Source organism: Homo sapiens, chromosome 11 (genome assembly GCF_000001405.40).
Source record: "Homo sapiens chromosome 11, GRCh38.p14 Primary Assembly".
Classification (NCBI taxonomy): Eukaryota; Metazoa; Chordata; class Mammalia; order Primates; family Hominidae; genus Homo; species Homo sapiens.
In genome coordinates this window covers 40,113,972-40,141,066 of record NC_000011.10, presented here as the reverse complement: position 1 = coordinate 40,141,066, position 27,095 = coordinate 40,113,972, and the positions used below count along the sequence as shown (strand labels likewise).

Sequence of the window (27,095 nt, the reverse complement as noted above, 5' to 3'; positions counted from 1 at the left end):
GGCATTAAAAAATGCATTGTTCAAAATGGCCAGTAGTTAAGAGAGTTGCTTTGGCTTTCTGCCCAGGATAGTGTTAAAATACAGTGGCAATTCAATAAATGTCATCAGTGGTGTCTGTGGTTGGTGGTTGTGGTGGTGGCAGATCAAGAATTGTCCTGAATTATTCTAATGGATGCTTTTTTTTCTTTTCTTTTCTTTTTTTTTTTTTTTTAGATTGGCAAACGCACTGCCTACTTACAGCATAGAGACCCCCAGTGGAGAGCTAGGTGGGTGATGATTCATACTAAATCTTTCCCACAGTATGCTGAACACTACAACTGCAGCTAATGTGAAGTGACTCGTTATACACTGTCAAACCTGATAACGGCAATGACTGGTTTTGCTAGCACGAGCAATTTGTGGGAAGTCCAGCTACTGAAAACCACTACTGAATTTCAAAAAATAAGCCGCAATATAGTAGAAAAGACATATCCACTGAGTCATATTTGCAAATTTCTTGTGTTTCTCTTTGCCAGTTTAGAAACAGCCTCATGTTCCCTGCTTGACTCGAGAGATGACTTACCTTGGGATTCACTTATCTTGTGAGTGCCTCCTCATTCAGTCATATTTTATGGGCTAAATATTTTATAAGAGTATTGGTGGCTCATGGACAGAACTGGAAATGTGGTTCTCCCATGGCAATATTTCTGAAGCTCCCTCTTTACACCACCATCCACCAGCAAACCATCGCATACACATAAACGTATTTACCTTCTGTAGCACTGTTTCCATGAGTGGTAGTTCTACCTGCAGAGAGAAAAGATGAGGAGGCAGCAGGAGGCAGGAACACTGACTCTTTGCTCTATGATTTATTGTATCATCATTAAATTGTAATCTCCTTGAAGGCAGGATTCTAATCTTACCTACTTGGCACCTATGAGCTGTAGTTGGCCCTTTATAAATAATTGACAAAATTAATGCACTTCCTTCCAAAAACTTTATTATTAAGGCAGGAACTGGGGTTTAACCTTCTTCTCTCCCTTGTCCCTGGTACAGTGCCTGACACACAGTAGGTGGAAAACTACATGTTTGTCTAGTGAAAGAACAAAGGTATAAATGAGCCCATCAATTAGACGGTTTCCTGCAGCCAAATTAATACCCAAGCAAGTGATTTTCAACCATCAGAGACAGAACAGTGATGGCTTCACATCATGTTTCTTCGGACCCCCAGGGGTAATGCCCTAAAAGTAGTTGTTTATTTTGGAAGGCAAAAGCTAATCTGAAGCTATTTTCTTTGTTTTTATATTCAAATGCCTATAAAACAGAAAAGCACCAGAGACCTATTCATTGCTCACAAATGATCTATGGGGCAATAATGTGCTTGTTTTTCCAGCTGTGCTGCACTTTGGTGCTGTCTTGGGTTTAATTGAAAATATGCTGTGACCTTGGTTTTGTTCACTGGGCATGTGGGGGTATAATTGGCATGAGGCCTCTGAAGAAGTCCCTTTTAATGAATGTCATTTGACTAATTTGGGGTTCGCCTGAAGGAAATAATGTGTGAAGTCCCATAAAATAAACAAACAAAAAAAAGATGCATTTTATTCACATGCAATGCACATGAAGTTAATGATTTAAAAAAGAAATCAACTTTTTATTTTGCCATACCTATTTGTTGAATCCTAAATGCTATCAGTATGATGATAGTATTGTCCCTAACAGTCTCATGTTTCATCATAATTAAATAAACAGCTTGTGAATTGCAGTCCAAAAAATGTCTGTGTTCCACTCCTAACTTAAGGGGTTTCCATAGAAACTGTGAGCAGCAAGTTTAACTGACATTTATTGGACTTGAGGCTATATGCAGCATTGATAGCTCACTGTTTTTCTCTCTAGCACTCTGTGTATGTGTCTTCTTTTCTTCCTTTAACCCTCCGAAACTCTTTTCCCCTCAGTTCTCGCCGCCTCCTCTTCTTCCTCCCTCTCTTTCTCTTGTTAGCAATGAGGAAGTAATTTGGACTTAGTTAGATTTAACAAATGCAATAATACTCAAATGGGCTCTAATACTTAAGTGTAATTGTGTTATTAGCTGGAAATGTTTTTCTTCAAAAATGAAAGAATTGGGAGTGAAATTTACTAAGATAGCACATGTTGGTAAGAAGGAACTCTTGGCTGTCACTTGAAAGTTTGTATTCTGTGTATCATAATCCACATTCATATCCAGCTGTGGCTTGCTCTTTATTTATTCAACCCAGAATGATATTTCTCCTGAGTCCTTATTTTCCTCCCAGAGAATAAAAACACTGTGCTGATCCCATTCCAAGAGAAAGTAAGAATTTCCTTAGGAAAGATAAAATATACTATATATTGAGTACCTACTGTGCAACATATATTTTGCTATTACTTTTACTTATGTTTTCTAGTTAACCCTACAAAATTCACTGCCAGATAGCATGTGGAAGGAAAATGAATCCGGAGCTGGCAGTTCAAGTTCAGGCCCCACCACAGAGTGGCTGTAAAGCCTTAAACATGGTACTTAAATGCTTTGTCTTGGTTGCTCAAAGACAAAATTGATAGGAGCACTTCTAAGCCATGAGGTTTGGTTAGGATTAGATGTGATACTACAGCTAGTACATCATAGTAGTAGTGTTAGTCTTCATCCCTTTAGAAATGAGGAAAACAAGTTGTCAAGAGAATATCTCATTCAGCCTGGACAACATAGCAAGACCCCATCTCTATAAAAAATTTTAAAAGCAGCCATGTGTGGTAGCATGCACCTATAGTCCAGCTACTCTGAAGGGAGGCTGAGGTAGAAGGTTTACTTGAGCCCAGAAGTTCAAGGTTACAGTGAGCTATGATTGCACCATTGCACTCTAGCCTGAGTGGCAGAGCAAGACTCCATCTCTAAAAAAAAAAAAAAGAAAAAATGTCACATCCAAATTTACGTAGCTAGCAGAAGATATGTCTACACAGTACAGTGGCTAAAAGGAGGTGGATTTGGACAGTACTAATTGTGTGATTTGGGTTAAGTGACAAACTTACAGAGCATCTGGATCCTAATGTTCTTCATGGGGTTGTTGTGAGAATTAAATAAAACTGCGTATGTAAGTTAGTGCCTGTCATGGAAAGCATACCGTGTTTTTTGGTCTCTTGGTCTCCTTTCCTCCCCTCACTTTTCTGATTTGTTTTGGTTTTGTATGAATTCAAAGTTTAAAAATTATTGATCCCCAAAGTCTATCTAATACTTATAGTTTAAAATGATCTTACAATTCATAAACTATCCCAAGTTATCCTGATAACAATGAGAAAGGAAAGACAGATGCTACCACACACATTTTATAGGTTAGGAAAAAGGAGAGATCTTTAATATAGTGAATGAGGAAGCTGAGGTTTTACCTAATTCCCCAGGGTCCTTTTTATAATTAAAATTTCCAATTCCATTGTTCTTAATTTGGATCCTATATTCATAGCTTTTAAGGCAAAAACCCAATAGATATTAACTCCTCTTTCTAATGAATGTGAGAGGAAGACACTTTTGGTCAAGAAGAAGGAAAGGAGGCAAGGAGAGGGTAGTGGGTAGTCTCTTGCAATCCTGTTTCCAGGTCATTCTTCTTGGATCTGAAGGGACATGTGGAAATGTAATTCTCAATTTCAGGGATAAATGAGGCAATGACTTTGTGCAGCAATATGCCTAGTGTTGCTGGCTGGAGAAAAGGGGTGAGGTGAAGAGAAAAAGCAAAAAAATAAAAATAAAAATCCAGGTATCAATCAGAGATGTTGATTGACACGTGGTGAATTCATTACTAGGTTACTAGGAAGAGAAAGTGTGAGAGTGCAGCTAGGACAAGAGTCTGATAGGACAAGATTACTGGTAAAAGTGATAGTTCCTATTCTCACATACACACACACACACACACACACACACACGTGCCCACGTGCATACATAGGTGTACAGGTTTAATCAAAATAAACTTCTTTAAGTGATAATTTTGTTGTTTCAAAGAGCTCATATTGGAGATAAAAATGATAGCTCTAACTTTTTTTGTTGTTATATGCTTATACTTGCCTTATTATTAGAATACTGAGTCTCAGCAAAAGCAAAATCAAAAACAAAACAAAAAGAATATTGATTCCATGTTATCTTTGGAAGAATCTTAAGCTACTGTGTCCATTTTGTGAGTGCTAATTCAGTTAAAACTAAGTAATATAATCTCTAAAGCCAATTATCCCACCACACAGAAATAGCAATATGTCACAGTGTACTGAAAGTGTGATCAAGTAATGGTGCTACAGGCAAGCCCTCTGTTCTGGAACTCCCACTTTTCCCCAGGATTCCTCCATAAGTTATATGATGCATGGCAACATTGCAAAATTAGTGAAACTGAATTTCTTTACTTGTTCTTAGAATAAAGTTAATTACAAATAGAAGTTTTAGTATTTTTCTTCCATGCCTTCACAGGTCATCTTGGTAGCCTTGGGATTGAAGCGAGTAGGTAAGAAAAGTCTCTCTGGATGGGCCGGGCGTGGTGGCTCACACCTGTAATCCCAGCACTTTGGGAGGCCGAGGTGGGCGGGTCACGAGGTCAGGAGATCGAGACCCTCCTGGCTAACATGGTGAAACCTGGTCTCTACTAAAAATACAAAAAAAAAAAAAAAAGTAGCCGGGCATGGTGGCAGGTGCCTGTAGTCCCAGCTACTCGGGAGGCTGAGGCAGGAGAATGGCGTGAACCCAGGAGGCAGAGCTTGCAGTGAGCCGAGATCGCGCCACTGCACTCCAGCCTGGGCGACAGAGCGAAGACTCCATATCAAAAAGAAAAAGAAAAAAGAAAAGTCTCTGGATGGATGCTGTAGTAGCCTTTTTTTTTTTTAGGAGACCAGGTGGTAAATATTTTAGGCTTTGCAAGCCATACAGTTTATCACAACCACTCAGTTCTGCCCTTCAGTGTAAAAGCAGCCACAGACAACGCTTACATGCATGGGTGTGGAAGTCTACTAACAAAACTTTACTTACAAAAACTGGCGTGGTGAGCCCGATTTTGCCTATGGGCAGTAATTTCCAAACCATTCATCTTAGAGTTTTGCTTACATCTCCAGCCCTCTTCTAGTTCTGCTCACATGTCAGGTGCAGCTTAAAAAATGGGATTGAGGAATGCAGGAATGACACCTATATCATAATTTAACCTAATTTTGTGGATTGTACTTTGTACACACTGATTTCTTATTAAAGTTTATTTTTGCGGTATGCCTTTGGCATAGAAAGAACATTCTGTCCTCACTTTACAGATGGGTATGGAAAGTTTAAGTAACTTGCATTATTATCACCCAACGTCTCTAATATCCATATTAGAATCGGACTGTCAGCCCCGTGCTTTTTCAGATTATTCTTTTAAAAATGCATCCTTTCAAGAATAAAGACATGGTGGGAAAAGTAACTAAAAAGTAATTTTAACCATCCAAATCAAGGAAACATAGTTAATAATGGTTTAAATAGGAGCATGCACAGGCTTCCCTACTTTCTTATCCCATTATGATACCATAAGGACCCAGCTCCTTATTGCTTTTCATGTACAGCTCTATTTTTTCCCATGAAATATTTTTGCAAATGATGCATTGCAGGCAAAGTGAATACAGAAAAATACAGGGAGTTTTTACTTTCCATGGGACTGTGTTAACTGAAGCTCATTCATTTTGGAATTGAATCCTAGTTTTGCAAGATTCCATGGTAACTAAGAGCAAATATAGGAATTGTGCAAAAAAGAAAACTTGGTTCCAATATTCACAACCTATGGTTAACACAGCATGGAGCAAAATGAGGACTGCCTTAAGTAAATAAATAACTGTGAATCTAATTTTCAAATGTCTGCATTTGCTGAATAATTCCCTATTTTGCAGTCATTAGGAAGAAACAAAAAAATCACTGATTCCAGTCATTTCCATTATCTGACATGTCATCACCAAGGTTTCCTCATTATACAATGTTAACAGTGTTGAGGTTACTTTAAACCAGTTTCTATTTCCAATTAGGAGGCCATCCCTGCTATCTGCATTCTGATTAAATGACGTTGCCTGGAAATCACAGAAAGAGTCTACTCTGTTTCCTCCCCTTGCTCAGATCTCATAAACACAGACTCAATTAAAGAGAGTTTCCTTATCAGGTTTTTGTGGGTCATTTTGGTGAATTTATTAAACTCTTAAGTCATGCTGAAAACTGGAAAGCAGTGGGTCTGAGATATTCAGTGGGAGCCACTAGATTTGCAGGACTTACTCCAAAGTTGTAGGGACTAAAAAATATACAGAAATCAGAGGAAGCAATGACAGGTCAGGAATCATGGGATCTGGTAAATATATATTAAGAGTATCACATATTAAGGATTCCAGAGCAGAGATAGATAAATCATAATGTTACTTCAGCTTATATTTTAGGTAAAAGTCAGAGCCTAACCCAGGCCATCATTATTTTATAGCTTGATTATTGAAATAATCTATTTCACTCTGTCCTATTCATATTCCATACCACTGCAGACTTGCTTTTCCTTAAATACTCTTCCCACTGTCCTTTTCCCTTCCAGTTTTGCCTGTGGACAGTAGTTTCCAAACCATTCATCTTAGAGTTTTGCTTATATCTCCATTACCTTTCTATTTCTGATCACATGTCAGAAAGAAAAATCAAGTCCCTACAATCTATCCATGAGTTAATATCAAATCTAAATTCCTTGTCTATTTTGTATATTCTGGTGTTATTTCATTTATTCTACTTACTACTCCACTGCCTATGTCATGTTTACTTTCATATATTCCCTACCCAACTTGTGCCTGTTTTCAAATAAACTCTTTCTCTTTTCTTGATGATGATGATTATTGTTTAGAGATAGTGTCTTGCTATGTTGCACAGGCTGGGCTCAGATTCCTGGGCTCAAGTGAACCTTCTGCTTCAGCCTCCCAAGTAGCTGGGACTACAGGCATGTGCCACCACGCCTGGTTCTTTCCGTTTTTTCTCTCTTTCTGCTCTGTTAGTGTATGTTCCTTATTGTGTGCTGCTATAATACCTCATTCTAAAGAATAGAGAATAGAATTTCTCTAGGATTTTCTGCTGCATTATAATTCCTGGCTTACTCACCTGTGAATCATACTGCACTGTGAGATTCTTGATGAGATACACTTGGCCCTAAGTGTCAAGAAATGAGCATTGTGCTTGAAATTTGGTAGGCACTCAAAAAATATTATTGAAGGAAAGTGCCTGTTTTTTTTTCTCTCTTAAAATGCTAGACCTTTTGCTTATTCAAATCTACATATCCCCTAGATCCACTGTCCACATACCTTTCACTGATTGCTCAAGCCTCACTGGTTCTCTCTGAACACCCAGACTACTTACAAGGATCTACGCAATCATACACACTCCCTCAGTGGAGCATGTTGGCAATGGTTTATGACTATTGTTTATACTGGGCTTGTCTCAGTACCCTGTTACAAATGATCAATGATGGCAAGTTACTGAATTGGAGTTCCCTGGTAGGTATAGCGTTAGAGAATATACTTAGAATCATATATTATTATAGCTGAAATGACTTTAGAGATTATCTTTCCCCGCACTCTACTATAAAATAAATCCCAGACATCTTTAGTGCTTCGCCTGGGGTTATAAATATGTTTTTGGTTACTCTCTAGGAAATTAGGGTTTTGTACTATTTAATAATGAACAAGGAAGTAAGTACTTGGTAAAACGTTGGGAGGTGATTTTAAAATCTGAATGACTCTATATACATGATATTTGTTCTCTTCGGATTGCCTTGCATGGTAATTTAAATTGCATTGCTCATTATAAAAATCCATACACCTTCTGGGTATATTGTTGGTTTGTTTGTTTTCAACCTATAAAGGCATTGGTGACCTTAGCACAGAGCATTTTCGAAGGATTAATGAGAAGTTGGGGGTTAATGACTATCAACTCCTCCCAGCCAGTCATCAATCCAAAGGAAGCCTGGGAAGCAAGGCTATTAACCGCATTACCAACTTACTGAAATCACATCCTTCTCTGACTGCCTTGCCAAGGACTTACGTTTCAGATAGTCTTCTTAGATCTTTTTTCAAAAGCACTTCTTTAGTTACTTGCTTTGTCATTAACCTAGATGAAAACAAAATATATATGGAAAATAATTTTCTACATATTTTGATTAAACATAATTTGAAATACTCAGCCCTTTTTATACGCTTTTCTCTCCCCTATATTTTTCAAACTGAAAGCCTAGAGCAAATCAGCCTATTGTGCATCCCGAGAAGCTAAAACATATGACCAGTTTCTGCAGTTTACCCTCTCTCCAACACTAGATTTGTTTATTGAGGGAGGATCCTTATTGGGGTTTTGGTTATGTTTGTTTTAATAGAATATTATTTTTTATTTATTTCTTTTATATGGTTGTTTTTCCACTAATATTCATAAGTACAGTGTTTTCTCCTTTCGCATCAGGCATGGTCACCCAAAACACCCTAAGAGATAAACATCAATGCATTAGTTAATGCATTACTACATTTTCCTTTGAGGAATAAACTATAGCAAAATGAAAGAAAATTCTGGAACAGAGAAGGTCCCATTTCTGCTCTATTGAGGGAGCACAGGACCTTATTTTATCATTCTGCATCCTGATTCATACATTGCCACAAATTCCTTAAAGAAATGACGTGGAGTGACAAAATGTCACCAGTGTACTGGTGTTTAAGTTGTTTGGCAAAGATTGCTGTTACCAGGGTAGACTACCTCCCAAGACCCTTCCCAACGGGCATTTGTTTTGAGGAATTTACTCAAGACCTGGGTTTTCACTCTCAGAAATTTGATTTTGGTAGCTCATTATGAGAAGGTTGTAAATGTACTTGCTAAACACGTAAGAAATTGATATATAGAGCAGAATGTCAATTCGCTAATTTATAGCTAGAACTCTAACAGACCTTTCAAGCACTTCAGTCTATCAATTATTTTGTATGGAACTTAAACTTTTTTGCAGCCATAAATCTCTTTGAGAGTATGATGTTAAGACTAATGAATAATCTTTCTATAAAAATATATAATCACATTTAAACAAAAATTGGCGTATACTTTCAGGAGGTTCATAAATGATTTGAAACCCATTAATAAACTTCTTAGGAACCCATGATGGTACTGTACAATTTCATGGAAAAGGAAATAATAATCAAATACGGATATTGATGAAAAATAAAACTAAGAGAACTTAATTGTATGATTCAAATTGTTTTAGTGTTATATTATTATAGTTGACGCATCAACCATTCTCCATATACGGACTTTAACTGTCATCAGTGCTAGACGAATAATGGAAACAATGAAGACAATAACAAATATTCCTACAGTATTGATTATGTACAAGACACTGTTCTAAAGCTTTCTATATTAACTCATTTATCCTCACAATAATAGAGTCCAAAATCACAACACTCAATCCCCAGGCAGTTTCACGGAAGGGTACTACAAAAATTTGTGTCTCTGATTTTTAAGTCTCTATGTACTATTAGTGTCTGCTTAGTTGTGTAAGCAGCTAGAAATCTGCAACAATCAACCTTTTCTTGAGGCCACATATTTATTCCTATATTGAGCATACATAATATACAAGATACTCTGGATGTAATATTTAGGATACAGGTTACTGCTGCTAAGGATAGATTTTTACCCTAAACCGTCATTTTCAATCCCCTATTTACATGCTGATTTTTGGTAATTTACTTCTTCACAATCTTAATATATAAATTTTCATTTGTTTATATGGAGGGTGACAAGGAGTAATTATTGAGCCCTCTCTTTGCCATTTAAACTAAGTTTTATACCTTTTCTATCTTTTTGGTTCACATATAAGTCTTAGCAATGGACTTCAATACATTATGTTTTTATAAAATTAGTTTATCAATTTGGCTGCTGACTATGAATTAAAATATGTGACACATTTCCGTAATTCAATTCAGCTAATATTTATTGAATGCCTAAATATCAACCAGTTTCTGTCTTTGAGAAAACTTATGAAGAAATAGGTTGAACACATTCCCAAACATTTACATGCAAACGTGGATTTGGTAAGTGTTATAGTCTTGGCTTTACGGACAATTTAGGGAAAGGATGGATTTATACTGATCAATAAGGCTGATGACAGCCTAGTAGAAAGAGCCATTGTAAAATTGGCTCTGACTGGGTACAATTTTGATTTAAAAAAAAATCAGAGTAGGTAATTTCAATCTAAAGTAAGAAGGAGCAAGTCCCCAAAGAGGAAAAGTAGAGGGAGTATTTTTAGAGTCGGAACACACTGCAGCCTAGACTGTATTAAGAACAGTGGGAGATACAACTGGGAAAGCAGAATGGCACAGCACTATGGAGGGGCTTACATGTCACACAAAGGCAGTGGTTTTCAAAGAGGACAGTTTTGCCCCCCAGGGGACATTTGGCAGTGTCTGGAGACACTGTAGATTGTCACAACTGAGGTTGCTACTGGCATCTAGTGGGTAGAGGCAGTAAGGGATTTAGGCTTAATTCTGTAGGCACTGGGGAACTATTGATGGGCTATGCTTTCTTGCACTGTGATTGTCTAGGCTCCCATGTGTTGTTACACTAAGTCTGCAAAATGTTGCTTTGAAAATCTCCTATGGGAAAAATATGAAAAGAAAAGACCACTTGTGGAGATAAGGAATAACATGTATTAATCATTAAATGGCCCTTGAACTTGAAGAAAAAAGAAAAAAAACAGGAAGAAAAAAAGAAGCAACAGTTTCATGCATTGTGGGGCTCCAGACTTAAAATATTAGCACAAAGGAGAATGTAGGCATTGTTACAAACAGGCATATTTCTAATCATTGGAGCATTCTGATTTCATTACCTGGAGAGTGAAATATCTAGCAGTACATGGAGCTCGAGATTTTAAATATTTTTCTCTGGTTATACATTTCACTAAAGCAAATTGCTGTCAAAAACATAAACATACCCCCAAACACCTCAAATTCCACCCTATAATTTGAGAAACAAGTTGGTCATCTATATTTTACATTTTCTTAAATAATTAATATCAAAAAGTGAATAAGATCGAAAGGATTCATAAACAGCCAGAAACCTCATGCCAGGTACACTTATCTCTCCAGCATCATGAGAGTGTAAACAGGCAGGAAAAAAAACAAATTATTTTTATTTTTAGCCCTGCCAAGCTGTGACTCTATCCCTGGGTCGGATTTTTTAGCATGAAGTAGATTTGACTTTTTGTTGCTAAGACAAGGTTTGGAGCCGCCATAGCCTTCCCCAGTCCCTTGCCTATTCTATCTTGTTGCTTTAGATTGTGATAGTAGAATTAGAAGATCTTTTCCACCCATGGATTTTTAAATAAATGGTTCAAATGAGTCTCTGTAGCAGGCATGTGGTGGTCAAGAAGCCCCTCCATTTTAAAGTCATTTGCTGACTCTAGGAATTCTCTTCTCTGTTATAAAGTGTTCTGATCCAATGCAGTGACCTGAAAGCTAATCCAGTCCTCCCTAGTTCTGGAGTACATGTAGGTGGGAAGAAGCAAATCATGAAAACAACTAGGCATCCTCTTAGGCAGAAATTTTCAAGGCAATCATGTTATTTTAGGCACATACAGCAGAGGGCATTGTTTGGTCAAACATAAAACAGGGCTGCTACTGATAATAATAGACAGAGAAAAAGAAATAGGGAAATCTCCCCGACTTTATCACCTACCCCATCCCCCTCAAAAAAACATGCAAAGAGACAGTGAGATGATCTTTAAATCACTGTTCTTCTCAGCTCTTTGTAGGAGAAACTTCTATGAAAATAACTACAAACTGGAAAACATTATTCCAAAAATCAATGAAATTCCTGCTATGTGAATGGGGTTCTACTAGGTGTTAGGGATCAATAAGTGAGTATGACATCCTATGGGTCCTTAGTGCGTTTACAGCCTTGACTTAATGAGTTTTCAACCTGCTTCTGTCTGCGTGGGGCACTCATTCATTCATTCATGCATTTAACAAACACTCCATGAGTACTGTTCTAGGTGAATACTGCTGAATAAGGAAGACAAGTCTCTACTCCATGGAAATTAACCTTCCACTGAGGTGAGACAGGCAGTAAGAAAATATGCACCTGAGCGTATGAGAAAAAATAACAAATAGTGATATGTGCTATGAGGAAAATTGAATATAGGTAACTTATTAAATATGACAAAAGGGATACTTTTTGCCAGGTAATCAAAAAGAACTTTCTGAGAAGGTAAAATTTAAAGTGAGCCCAGAATTAAAAGGAAAACCAACCACGCAAAAATCAAAGGATACACATTGCAGGCAGAGGGAATCCTAGTACAAAGGTCCTGAGGCGGGAACAAGGCTGAATCTTTTGAGAAACCACGAAAGGCCAATGGGGTGGAACCGAGAAGGTGGAGTAAGAAAAAGTTGAGAAGTGGGAGAAGCAGACAGAGGTCAGGCTGAGTCTTGGAGACCAAAGCAGTTTGCATTTTGTTCTAAAAAGGTATGGAGCTAATAGGGGTGTTTCAACTAAAAGAATAGCATGAACATATTTTTAATTTAAAAATTCAATCTAAATACTCTAAAAAGAATGAATTGTCATAATGCAGTTAACCAAAGTAGGGAAATTGATGGCAGTGTGTTTAAGAGGTTCAAGTTGGAAATGAAGATAACATATAATCTAGAAAGAGACAATGAGGAAAAGTAGACAGACCCACATTATGTTTTAAGGTTGAATCAGAATAGTGCTGGGCTGCAGGTGAATACAGAAAAAGAAAAGTCAAAGAAGAGTTTAACAATTTTGCCTTGTGCAACTGGTCACATGGTAGCGGCTTTTATGGAGGTTCAGGGGCAAGTTTGGGGATTCGCTTTCAGTGTACACTATGCCATTTAATTCGTGTAATCCTCACAATGTCTATTTATTGTATTGTTATCATCATTCCTACTTAGGAAGGTGCAGCTCGGAGAAGGCCAATTTACCAAAGATCAAACAGTCAGGAATACCAAACCAACCCTCCGGGGCATTTTACTCTAAAGCTGGTTTTTGTTTTGCTGGGTCTTACTATTGTAGATTGGGCATTCTTTTTGTGCTTCAGCATTGTTTCAAATTAGAAAGAGGACTAAAACTAAATGTGTGTTTAGTAGTCCTTTGTGTGCAATCTGCAGCATGGACATGAGCCACTCTAGATATCAAAGATGCCTCTTTTCCTGACTTGCAGATCAGAGATTCCAAAATGATACACTGCTCTTTTTGTGTACCCTGATATTTTCTAACGTGACCATATGCAGAAGCTAATTTTCTCTTCATTGGTATTTCATGCTCAACAGGATTTTAACTGGGGCGTATTAATTTGAACTATACACATCTCAGTAGTCAGATAATCAGATTGGAGATCGGTTCCATTCATTCTAAAGCAATACTAGGGACGTCGATTATTAAAGTCATTTACTTTCTCATCAAAGTCTTCTCTGCAATTTCCTTTAGGGACAAGAGCAGAAACTTTCCAAAACAATATTCTCATCATTCCCTCTCCTGCTTAAAAGCCTCAAGTTTCTAAGTTTTTTTTTATTAAAATACATTCAAACTTTTTTGTTAGGCTTGCAGTGCCCCTCAATTGGGCTAGTTTAACTAACTTCTATAGTGTAAGTCCTTTACTTCCATTAAGACAGTTTTCTTATTATTTTGTGCTCCTACTCCTCTGCTTTCATAAGTAAGCTCCTACCTCCTCCAACACTGCCCCGCCTCCATGCCAATCTATATTCCTTTAAAGACCTGCATAAAATTCCAAATCTCTATATTTTTTTTTTTGCTTTTTTTGAGATGGAGTCTAGTTCTGTTGCCCAGCTTGAGTGCAGTGGCACAATCTTGGCTGACTGTAACCTCCGCCTCCCGGTTCAAGCGATTTTCCTGCCTCAGCCTCCGGAGTAGCTGGGATTACAGGTGCCCACCACCATGCCCAGCTACTTTTTGTATTTTTAGTAGAGACGGGGTTTCACCATGTTCACCAGGATGGTCTCGATCTCTTAACCTCATGATCTGCCCACCTTGGCTTCCAAAGTGCTGGGATTATAGGCGTGAGCCACTACACCTGGCCCCAAATTCTCTTCTTCTTTTTATTTATTTTTTTTTTTTGAGACAAAGTTTCGCTCTGTCACCCAGGCTGGAGTGCAATGGTGCCATCTCAGCTCACTGCAACCTCCACCTCCTGGGTTCAAGCTATTCTCCTGCCTCAGCCTCCCGAGTAGCTGGGATTACAGGGATGCATCAACACACCTGGTTAATTTTGTATTTTTAGTAGAGATGGGGTTCCTCCATGTTGGTCAGGCTGGTCTTGAACTCCCCACCTCAGGTGATTTGCCCACCCTGACCTCCCAAAGTGCTGGGATTACAGATGTGAGCCACCACGCCCGTCCCCAAATTCTCTTCTTAAAGCATTCTCTGATTAGCTATGCCTACATTAATCTCTGGTAATTCTTTATGGCATGTAAATATTGAATGTATTGATTTACACTAGTACCTATATGCATATATGTACATTTTTAAATTTTTGATATATGTCTATAATTTGTTTTATACCTCCAAGATTGGAAAGTTCTTGAAGACATAGGTAATTTACCTCTCTTACAATCCTTATTATACACTCCAGCACATGACCCCATGTTGGTGGCAGCCACATTGTTGTTGTTGTTTTACTTTTCTAGTACATAGTTCTCTGTAGTCAGAACATCTCACCTAATGATATGGTAATGTTATCACTAGTAACATATAGTCACAACACTAGTGACAACATTATAATATCATTAGGTGAGACGTCCTGACTACAGAGAAACATAAACCCTAAGAATATATTATACATTCTTCCACTGTAAGCCAAATAAGTCTTCTAGAAGAATGAAAATGCAGAGTCAGGTGGGTTTTTTTTTTTTTCGTAAATCTCAACTTCTGAAATTTTAGCATTTTCTAGAAACATTGCAGAGTCAGTGTGTTTAGCCAAACAGCTGCTTGTTAACTTGACAGGTTGATTCACTGGGTTATAGCCATTTAAATGTTGTAGCATTTCCATTACATTTACCTACTGATTCAGCCCTGGGCATATTTACAAAAAAAATTCTTTTCCCTGAAAATCTACAGAACTACATACTCCTGCATAAGGGGTGGAGAAAGCTCAAGATTTGCAAGATTGGGTTAAAAATGGGAAAATAAATGATCTATATTAGGAAATATTTATGAAATAAACTTGAAGAAGTGTGTTACCTTTGGTAATGGTGTTATTTAATTCGTTGCTTTGTTTTTTCTCCTGTGTATTCTAGCATTCTTTAAAACCCAGAGATGTCCAGATAAATGATTTTGCAGTAGAAATCCTTCTTAGCATGATGTGGGATGAGCTTCAGACCTTTCTTATAAGGATATCATGTTGCTTTACCTTAACTTGTTTCCTTTGAAAGGTCTCATATTTATAAAGGTATAGGAAAATAAAATAATAAAATGTTCCCCTCTTCTTTGCTATTGGCTGAGGAAATAAGGAGAGAGAGAGAGAGAGAAGAAATGAACATAAACGTGTGAGGATAGGTTTGGCTGCATGTAACCAGAAAAATAATAACTGTTTATACTGTAATATATTATTTTACATAATAAGAAGTCCAGAGGAAAAACAGTTACAGGGTTCATTAATTCAGCTGCTTATCACAAATATCAAAGATATAAGTTCTTTCCATTTTTTCATTTTTTCTTTCTTATCAGCTTTGTCCTCAGGCTGCCTCCCCTCTTGGCCACAAGATGGCTGCAGCAGCTCTAGGCATCTTTTACCCTCAACGATATCTAGAAACAGAACAAAGAATTATTTCTTCCCCATGTTTTTCTTCTTATTAGTGGGAGAAAAAAATTCCTGAAATCCCTCAGCTGACTTCCCCTCACATCTTATTAGCCAAATTGTGTCACATGTTCAGACCTCATTAGTCTCTGAAAGCAGGAATGGTACTATCAATCTTTGCTTAGACATGAGCTTAGCTAACTATAATCTGCAAGACAACCTGCTACTTTTTTGTGTGTGCCCTGTGAGCTAAGAATGTTTGTGAATTTTTAAATGGTTAGGAAATAGAATTTATTTATATATATATATATTCTTTTTTTAAAAAGTTTAATTATTGTGGGTACATAGTAGGTGTATATATTTATGGGATACATAAGATACTTTGATACAGGCATACAATGCGTAATAATCACATTAGGATAAATGGGGCACCCATGACCTCAAGCATTTATCCTTTGTGTTACAACAATTTTACTATTTTAGTTATTTTAAAATGTACAGTAAATTATTGTTGACTGTAGTCATCCTATTGTGCTATCAAATAGATCATATTAATTGTGTCTAACCATATTTTTATACCCACTAACCATCCCTCCTTTGCCTCCCCACATCCAACTATGCTTCCCAGTCTCTGATAACCATCATTCTGCTCTCTATCTCCATTAGTCAATTGTTTTACTTTTTAGCTCTCACAGATAAGTGAGAACATATGAAATTTGTCTTTCTGTGCTTGGCTTGTTTCACTTAACAGAATGACCTCCAGCTCCATCCATGTTGTTGCAAGTGATAGTTTCTCATTCTTTTTTACAGCTGAATAGAACTTCATTGTATATATGTACCACATTTTAAAAATTCATTTATCTGTTGATGGACACTTAGGTTGCTTCCAAATCTTTGATATTATGAATAGTGCTGCAATAAACATGGGAGTGCAGATATTTCTTCCATATATTGATTTCCTTTTTTAGGGAATATATGCCTAGCAGTGGAACTGCTGGATTATATTATAGTTATATTTTTAGTTTTTTGAAGAACTTCCAAAGTGTATTCCATAGTGGTTATACTAATTTACATTTTGAGAGTTCCCTTTTTCCCACATCCTCACCAGCATTTGTTACTGTTTTTGGATAAAAGCCCTTTTAACTTGAGTGAGATGATATCTCATTACAATGTCTATTTAAGTCTTTAATCCATTTTGATTTTTTTACACGACCAGAGATAGAGGTCTAGTTTTCTTCTTCTGCATATAGACATACAGTTTTCTCAGCACCATTTATTAAAGAGACTGTCCTTTCTCCAGTGTATGTTCTTGGCACCTTTGTCAAAAATGAGTTCACTGTAGATGTATGGATTTGTTTCTGGATTCTCTATTATGTTCCATTGGTGTATGTGTCTGCTTTTATGCCAGTACCATGCTGTTTTGGTTACTATAGCTCTGTAGTATAATTTGAAGTTAGGTAATGAGATTCCTCCAGTTTTGTTCTTTTTGTTCAGGATAGCTTTGGCTATTCTGGGTCTTTTGTGGTCTCATATACATTTTAAGATTTTTTTTTCTATTTCTGTGAAGAATGTCTTTGGTATTTTGACAGGGATTGCATTGAATCTGTAGATTGCTTAGTGTAATATGGACATTTTAATCCTATTGTTTCTTCTAATCCATGAGCATGGAATATCTTTCCATTTTTTGCGTGTCTGATCCAATTTCTTCTTTCATTAATGTTCTATAGTTTTCACTGTAGAGATCTTTCAGTTATTTAATTCCTAAGTATTTTATTGTATTTATAGCTATAGTAAATGGGATTAATTTCTTGATTTCTTTTTTCAGATTGTTTGCGATTGGTATTTAGAAATGCTACTTATTTTTGTATGTTGATTTTGTATTCTGCAACTTTACTGAATTTATCAGTTCTAACAGTTTTTTGGTAGAGTCCTTAGGGTTTTCCAAATATAAGATCATATCATCTGCAAACAAAGATAATTTGACCTCTTCTTTTCCAAGATGTCCTTTATTTGTCATGTCTGATTGCTCTAGCTACAATTTCCAAAAATATCATTTTATACTATAAATAGTATTATTGGAGCACAGCCATGCCCATTTATATACCTTTTGTCTATGGCTGCTACAGTGGCATAACTGAGTAGTTGCAACAAGAGATCATATGGCTCATAAAGCCTGAAATAATTACTATCTGGCCCTTTACAGAAAAAGTTTGCCTACTTCTAGCTTAAATGAAACTCTATTCACCCTTAAGTACTGGGGTCAGTCTCTCCCAAAACAGATAAAATAGTATATATGTGTGTGTGTGTGTGTGTGTGTGTGTGTGTGTGTATAAATATATATATACACATACACTTTTTATATAGATATAAAAAAGTATATAGACCTATATCTATCTATATATATATATTTGTTTTGTTTTGTTTTTGCATGGGAGTAAATGTTTTATATAAAATTTTCTTAGAAAAGAGTAAGGGAGTAGGATGTTTGGGTAGGCAACAAATTTGTGTTTGTTGGGTGGGGGGAGGGTGAAGATATTGTTTGAGATTCAATCACATTTTAAATGAGTATTACACCTTGTGTATTGTAAAAAGGTAATTCCTGAAATATCATCAATATAACCTGTTGATAAAGCAGAGCTGACTTTATTGATTATGATGGTAAGGAAAAGAACCACCTCACAAAGTTTGGCACTGTCTGTGAGTGGAGCTGTGAAGATTAGGTCAGAATTTATTAAGAATTCGAAGTTTGACTGACATAGGAACAGAAAACCAAATACTGCCTGTTCTGTCTTATAAGTGGGAGCTGAACAATGAGAACACGTGGACACAGGGAGGAGAACAACACACACTGGGGCCTGTTTGGGATGTGGGGGAAGGGAGAGCATCAGAAAGAAATAGCTAATGCATGCGGGGCTTAATACGTAGGTGATGGGTTGATAGGTGTAGCAAACCACTATGGCACACGTTTAACCTATGTAACAAACCTGCACGTCCTGCACATGTATCCAGGAACTTAAAATTTAATTTAATTTAAAAAAAAGAATTGGAAGTATGAGTCTAGGAAGGTTTTTCAATGTAGAAACTTGTTTAGGATTATACAAGAATTATGACACAACAATTCAGGATTGAAGAAAACAGCAAGGTGAGTCAAAAGAGTCAGTAAATCTGAGCACAGATGTCTGTTGAATTTTCCATGAAAGACTGGATAGAACTTTGGGGGAAGTTCCTATAAGGATCAGTGAAGCCATTTGCTTTGGTGGAAGAGCCCCAGAAGAGGAAAGAGGTGCTAAGACAGACAGTGGAACAGCAAAGTCATGTTGATGTAGATGGTAAGGTGTGGTTTGGAATCTTAGGGTCCAGGGGTAAGCAGTTTTGGTTCTCCTGTTTAGGGAGGTTTGTTAAGGATAATGTGAGAAGGGAAAGAAGAGGTACAGTTGTGGTTAACTGAATTCATCTTTCTCCCTCCTTGCTTACAAACTAGTTCTAACGTTTAGACAAAGCCTATGATGACTTAGCAATGATACTGTGCTAAGAAAGCATCTCCGTTAGCTAACTCTTTCACATATACTTGCTTCTGTGTCTCTCACTGCAGCTCTCAGTGCACTAAAGCATGGGTAGTAAAGGAAGAAAGTCTGTTGACAAAGTCAAGATATCCTCTGGGACAAGGCTAAAAGTATCATAGTTTAATTCAAAACTCACACAAATGCATATGTAAATAAATGCTGTCAGATGACATTGTAATGGGTAGTGCATACTTTTAAATTAATTTTCATTTGATGTGATAAAAACATCATGAAAGAGATGTTGAAGACTGGCTTTTGATATAAAGTAACATAATTTAGATATTAAAGTAAAAAACCTTTTGTTGATAGTAGTTGATTTAATTCAGTGCATGTACCAAGCATTATTCACTGTAGGTTATAAATTAGCTTTGAACCAGCTATAATTCTTAAAGTATTACTTATGACTGATTTATAGAAAATCTCATTAATTGCAATAGCACAAAGACCTTGAAGTAAGCAAGAAGTAGAAAATAAAACTCAGCCCGGAGAGTAAGAAAGAATAGATGCATATACCTTTTAAGTAATAGCAATATATCATTGTTGCGTGTGTTTTACTGATAGTATGTTCCCGATTATATCAAGAAATCCTTACCACAAATTTGAATAAGCGATATTATTGCTGCTCCTGTCTTAAAAAATAGGAAGAAACTGAGTGTCTCATCACTTTATTTTTAATATGCATTAAATATTTATTATATATTGCTTCTTATGAGTCAGTAACTTTACATAACACAGTATTATGTGACAGTCCTAACCAAAGTCTTTTGACTAGGTAACAGTGTTCTTTCACAGATGGGGAAAGTAAGGTATAGAGAGGTGAAGTAACTTTCTCAATTTTAAGGTCACTGAGGTTCAAACAGGGATATGATCTCAAGAAGTCTCACATTGGACCCTTTTCTCTTGACCACTGAGCATGGCTGCCTTTACTGCCTCACATTTTAAAAAGAAAAAGGTAGCAAACGGCAGAGTAAGAACTTATCTTCTTTACTCTTGTGCTATTTCCAGTCAACCAGTTATTTCTACCTGTTTTGCCTGAGACCCTAGGATTCTGAGAAGGGCTATGGGGTAGGGAATGGGAGAAAGAATGGAGGAACAGGACCCTGGGACCCCAACCCTAAAAATATTAATTTGCTTATGTATCAGGGATTTTGCATGCTATGTTATTTTATGCCCAATAACCTTAATAACATAGGCCCTCTCCCCCTGAAACCTATGTCTGTTTCAGGGAGAGAGGGCATATGTAAAACTACACTAAATCACTCAAATGATAAATTTTCGATGGTCATGATTACTGGAAATTTAGATAGCTTTCTGTTGATAATGGAAATATAAAAGAGTTATTTAAGGCCATATTTAAATTTACAAGGAGGATAACTCTATCTGACTTAGGTTGTGAAACCTACCAACCACATTGTTGTCATGATATAAATGGGGCAGGGGTGTAGTCCTATAAAACCTGTTAACAGGACTGACATGATGAGCCAGGCCTTTTTGTTTAGTAATTGTTTTAGAATGCAGGTTTTATTATTATTTAGCTATAGTGAAGCAACAGATCAGGAGATGGCTGCTGTTTAAAAAGTGATGTTTTTCTCACAGCTCCCAGGAGGCAGGGCATGGCACAGCATGTGGAGGCCACACTGGGAAGCAGCAGGATCAGCCAGTAGGGAGCAGCCAGTAGAAAATGTGGGCAAGAGCCTTTATTGTGGTTTTATGGGAAGGCAGGGTAAATGGTCTTATGATTGGGTAATTTGAACAATTTTGGCAGGCTCTGGGACATAGGGGCTGTCCCTTGTTGTCTGGTAAGTGGTAAGTGGACGTGGGGTGATTAGGGCAGGGGAATGGTGGTGTGAGTGTTAAGAGTCCTGGGAGAACCTGATAAAGAAGGTGACTGGGGTTTGACCTTTGGATTGGCTGGTTTGCATATGAAAGTCATGCTTATAGGCAAGTCCTTGACTATTTCTAGGAATTTGCTAGCCCTGAAAGGGTAGCCTCTCTAGGATCAGCAAGGCCTCAAATGTTAGAACATCAGAAAACACAAAAAATAAAAAGGCATGATTAATACATAAGAACATGTGACTACATATATGCAAAGGGCTGTGATTAGATATTTGCTTTGTCATACATTTTTCAATATCTTTTCATTTTGTGCCTACAGTATGCCAGGCACTGTGTTGGCAATAGGCTAAGAGGAATCCATCAGACATGGCCCCTGTTCTCACAGAGTCCACAGGCTGATGGAGGAAACCACCCAGAAACAAATAATCACAGTACCAGATCGTGTGAAAAGTCAATCTAGAGCTGCAACAGCTCCAAGGAAGGAATCAAGTTAGTTGGCCTTAGAAGGCTGGGGGAAAAAAATAGTAACTCAGAATCTATTAGTCAAGTATTTTTGCTGTCATAGAGAAGGACACAAAAGCCTCTGAAGCCAGAAAGCAATGGAGGACTTTAAATATCCCCTTCTTAAGACCAACGTTCCTTACAGTGTTTTTGTAAACGTGGGTATATGTTTAAGGATTGCTAATGACAGCTGCTTTTCCTTAAGAGTGCATCTCCTATTACTGAGGGGAAAAAAGCCTCTTCTCTACCTTCTGTAGGCTATGTAAATGCAACTATTTCTCACTGGGGATCTCACCACTAGTGAAAGGATCATGTCCTAAAAAAGAGCCAGCCCTTCTTCCTCAAGCCTTTGGTGGTAGACAAGGAAGTGCTGGCCTTGAAACTGGATCGCTCTCTGGCACTGGCTTCTCTCCAAGACTCACTTGAGCCAACAGGAAGGTCTTCCTAATTGCTCTGCTTGCCACTAGTTTCTTCCATTGCTTGTCTGTGCCCCATATTAACCTCTCATTATCATTTTTCAAAACAAAGCTGATGATAGCATTCTTTTCTAAAAACAAAACATGTTGCCTGCACTATAAAATTGGGACTCTTAAGTTTGACGTAACCAACCCCTAAGAGTCTTTACCCGATCTTATTCCAGCTTCCTTTCTCATTCTCGTCCTCAGGCCTTCCATTCTCTTGATAGAGGGTACTTTTTACTGTTCCCTGGATGTACTAGCATTTTTCATGTCTGCTTGCCTTGGTTCAGCTGATCCCTCTGTGCTTAAAATGCCCTTCTTTCCTTTTCTCAGCAGCTTCTACAAAATATAGATCAGATATCCATCTTCTTTGAAACCTCCTTGGTTTTCCGGCATAGATTAAGTTGCTCTGATGTTAGTGCTCTTGTGCCAATGTGGACTTCTGTCATAGCAATGAACATATATCATTGTACTTCATCTGTTTGCTTATCTGTCTCACCTTTTAAATTCCCACGAGGTAAGGATTCTATTCCTCATCCTTATATGCCCACTACTTAGCAAAATATCTGGCTGAGGGAAACAACAAAAAGGACTTAGAACAATACCTCCCACATTGTCAGAACTCAATAAATGTTAGATATGATTATTTTATAATAAAATATTTTATATTAATTTATTGTTAATATTTTAATATAAGTAATAATTATATTTGTTATTTCATACTTATAAATATTTTTAATATTACATTATTATTTTAATATTAAATTTAATGGTAATTTGTTTCATATTAAAATATTTTCATATTAACAATTTATAATGAAATTAATATTTCATTATAAATCTAAATATATGATTAGTATGATTACTACTATTTATAATGAAATTAGTATTTATAATGAAATTAATATTTAATATTAAAAATATTTTTAATATGAAATAATAACCATATCTATCATATAATCATATCTAACATTTATTGAGTTCTGACAATGTGGGAGGAATTGTTCTAAGTCCTTTTTCTGTATTAACTCATTTTATCCTCACAACAACCCTATGTGATATATAATATTAATATCTTCATTCCCATTTTGCAAGTGGGAGAGAAATTAAGCCACAGAAAGGATAAGTAACTTGCTCAAGGTGACACATAATGGGTACGAAATTAGTGCCTTTTTGAATTGAAATGTGGTGACCCCTCCCACTGGCCCCCCTCCCCTTTTTTTTTTCTTTCCAAGAGACTCATAGAAGACACACTGTTTATTGAGTTGAGAGACTTGGGAGAAGTTATTACACAGGTGCCCAGTCCACAATAAGCCAGCTGAGTGTGGTGTATACTTGGAAACAACATAAGCTCCTTTGGAAGACTTCCTTTGGCCACAAGAGATGCAGGAGATGAGTTATTTTCCTTCCCAAAAATCTACTCAAAACCAGTAAGAGTAGGGACACAAGACATAATAGTCCTGTTATAACTATTTTTTTCTGTAAATAAAAATTATGCTTCATGGGAAAATAGTTAACATGTGATATGTCTGCTTATAGGCTGCAGTCAGCTATTTTATAATGAGTTGGTATATGAGAATCTCTAGAAGTTTATATATACATGTGCATGTCACTGTTTCAGTGCATCTTCACAGGTACCATAAATTAAGTTGCCAGTGCTTACAGCTGAGGTCACCCCCAAAGGGAAGGTATTTTAAAGAAATTGTGAAAAATATTTTGCTTTTACCTTTATTCTCATAGCAACATTTTTATGGACCATCTGAGATCATATTCTCTGGGATCAGTCTAATGAGCATCTGAGCCCTGATTTATACTTACTAAACATGTGACTTCTTGAATGTCACTTCTATGATGATATTTCTTCATTTTGAAAATGAAAAGAATGGCAATTCCTACTTCAGAGAAGTGTTGTAAGGATTACGAAGGATTACAACCAGCTTCATAGGCCTACAACCTGTGCAGTTGCAAAGAAACCCACATTTATATGGGCCCACACTTGGTTTAGTGGTCTTTTGTTACTGATTTGATATTATTAACACTTTTTTTATAAGGCTTCCTACATTTTTATTTTGCACTGGGAACCACAAATTATGTAACCATTTCCAGACAGGCTTGTTTGTAAAGTGTATAGCCCATGGTGCTTGGCACATAAAATAACCTTCAATATAATATGTCAGCTATTACTACTTTTGCAAAGGAGCTTTTAGTTTGTTTGATATAGCCCCAAAGTCCTATTTTTTAAGCTTTTCAATCTGCTGTGGACATTGAAGCTAATGGTAGGGTATGTATTATATGTCCTCATGCATTTGGGCCACATTTGGTTGGTAAACAATACATTAGTGTCCTCTACCTCATTGACCCCTTACTCTGTGGTCATACATCTCATGGAATGTGGGCTTTAATTTGGATTAAAGGTACATTTTCTTCTAAATATGAACCACATAGCTTAATAAAGGATATTAGATTTGTTTTTAATTTGTCTCACACATGATGGCTTTAGCTGATACACTATATCACCGACATTACTCCAGAAAGACACTTAGAATAAATCTAATCTAATAATTGGTTTTTTTTGCTTGTATTTTGCAGACTGTTTGAATTCCAGAAGGACCAACACCAGATAAATTATGAATGTTGAACAAGATGACCTTACATCCACAGCAGATAATGATAGGTCCTAGGTTTAACAGGGCCCTATTTGACCCCCTGCTTGTGGTGCTGCTGGCTCTTCAACTTCTTGTGGTGGCTGGTCTGGTGCGGGCTCAGACCTGCCCTTCTGTGTGCTCCTGCAGCAACCAGTTCAGCAAGGTGATTTGTGTTCGGAAAAACCTGCGTGAGGTTCCGGATGGCATCTCCACCAACACACGGCTGCTGAACCTCCATGAGAACCAAATCCAGATCATCAAAGTGAACAGCTTCAAGCACTTGAGACACTTGGAAATCCTACAGTTGAGTAGGAACCATATCAGAACCATTGAAATTGGGGCTTTCAATGGTCTGGCGAACCTCAACACTCTGGAACTCTTTGACAATCGTCTTACTACCATCCCGAATGGAGCTTTTGTATACTTGTCTAAACTGAAGGAGCTCTGGTTGCGAAACAACCCCATTGAAAGCATCCCTTCTTATGCTTTTAACAGAATTCCTTCTTTGCGCCGACTAGACTTAGGGGAATTGAAAAGACTTTCATACATCTCAGAAGGTGCCTTTGAAGGTCTGTCCAACTTGAGGTATTTGAACCTTGCCATGTGCAACCTTCGGGAAATCCCTAACCTCACACCGCTCATAAAACTAGATGAGCTGGATCTTTCTGGGAATCATTTATCTGCCATCAGGCCTGGCTCTTTCCAGGGTTTGATGCACCTTCAAAAACTGTGGATGATACAGTCCCAGATTCAAGTGATTGAACGGAATGCCTTTGACAACCTTCAGTCACTAGTGGAGATCAACCTGGCACACAATAATCTAACATTACTGCCTCATGACCTCTTCACTCCCTTGCATCATCTAGAGCGGATACATTTACATCACAACCCTTGGAACTGTAACTGTGACATACTGTGGCTCAGCTGGTGGATAAAAGACATGGCCCCCTCGAACACAGCTTGTTGTGCCCGGTGTAACACTCCTCCCAATCTAAAGGGGAGGTACATTGGAGAGCTCGACCAGAATTACTTCACATGCTATGCTCCGGTGATTGTGGAGCCCCCTGCAGACCTCAATGTCACTGAAGGCATGGCAGCTGAGCTGAAATGTCGGGCCTCCACATCCCTGACATCTGTATCTTGGATTACTCCAAATGGAACAGTCATGACACATGGGGCGTACAAAGTGCGGATAGCTGTGCTCAGTGATGGTACGTTAAATTTCACAAATGTAACTGTGCAAGATACAGGCATGTACACATGTATGGTGAGTAATTCCGTTGGGAATACTACTGCTTCAGCCACCCTGAATGTTACTGCAGCAACCACTACTCCTTTCTCTTACTTTTCAACCGTCACAGTAGAGACTATGGAACCGTCTCAGGATGAGGCACGGACCACAGATAACAATGTGGGTCCCACTCCAGTGGTCGACTGGGAGACCACCAATGTGACCACCTCTCTCACACCACAGAGCACAAGGTCGACAGAGAAAACCTTCACCATCCCAGTGACTGATATAAACAGTGGGATCCCAGGAATTGATGAGGTCATGAAGACTACCAAAATCATCATTGGGTGTTTTGTGGCCATCACACTCATGGCTGCAGTGATGCTGGTCATTTTCTACAAGATGAGGAAGCAGCACCATCGGCAAAACCATCACGCCCCAACAAGGACTGTTGAAATTATTAATGTGGATGATGAGATTACGGGAGACACACCCATGGAAAGCCACCTGCCCATGCCTGCTATCGAGCATGAGCACCTAAATCACTATAACTCATACAAATCTCCCTTCAACCACACAACAACAGTTAACACAATAAATTCAATACACAGTTCAGTGCATGAACCGTTATTGATCCGAATGAACTCTAAAGACAATGTACAAGAGACTCAAATCTAAAACATTTACAGAGTTACAAAAAACAAACAATCAAAAAAAAAGACAGTTTATTAAAAATGACACAAATGACTGGGCTAAATCTACTGTTTCAAAAAAGTGTCTTTACAAAAAAACAAAAAAGAAAAGAAATTTATTTATTAAAAATTCTATTGTGATCTAAAGCAGACAAAATTATGTGTATTCCTCAGAACCTGTTTTTGCTGCACTTATTCACTATTTTCCCACATCTCATTCCTCCCTTCCCTGATTGCCATATTTTTCATAGCAGATCTCAATTCCTTAAAGAACTGGTCTAGGAAATTTTGTAAGAATTCTGTTACACTTTGAGATTTTTATGGTGAATTCTAGTGGTGAGATCCAGTCTATTTTGTCTCTCTCTCTTTTTTTAATTTTTTTCT

At 37.4% G+C, this 27,095-nt stretch overlaps 1 protein-coding gene across 25 annotated transcripts in view; it reads left to right on the top strand.

Annotated features, from left to right (window-relative positions):
- LRRC4C (leucine rich repeat containing 4C) overlaps window positions 1–26,868 on the top strand; it is a 1,345,454-nt gene extending 1,318,586 nt beyond the window's left edge. For 8 of the 25 annotated variants that reach the window (NR_047673.1, XM_017018073.3, XM_017018070.3 and 5 more), the window contains 2 exons: window positions 214–266; window positions 24,733–26,868. Coding sequence is in view for 23 of the 25 variants with exons in the window: in XM_017018073.3 (XP_016873562.1) it covers window positions 24,775–26,697 (1,923 nt within the window). In the remaining 2 variants the exon portion in view is untranslated. Of the gene's footprint in view, window positions 1–213; window positions 267–515; window positions 582–24,732 lie in introns of all 25 variants that reach the window. The other 17 variants (NR_047674.1, XM_017018075.3, XM_017018077.3 and 14 more) reach the window with 4 other exon arrangements.
- Window positions 26,869–27,095: the final 227 nt, after the last annotated feature.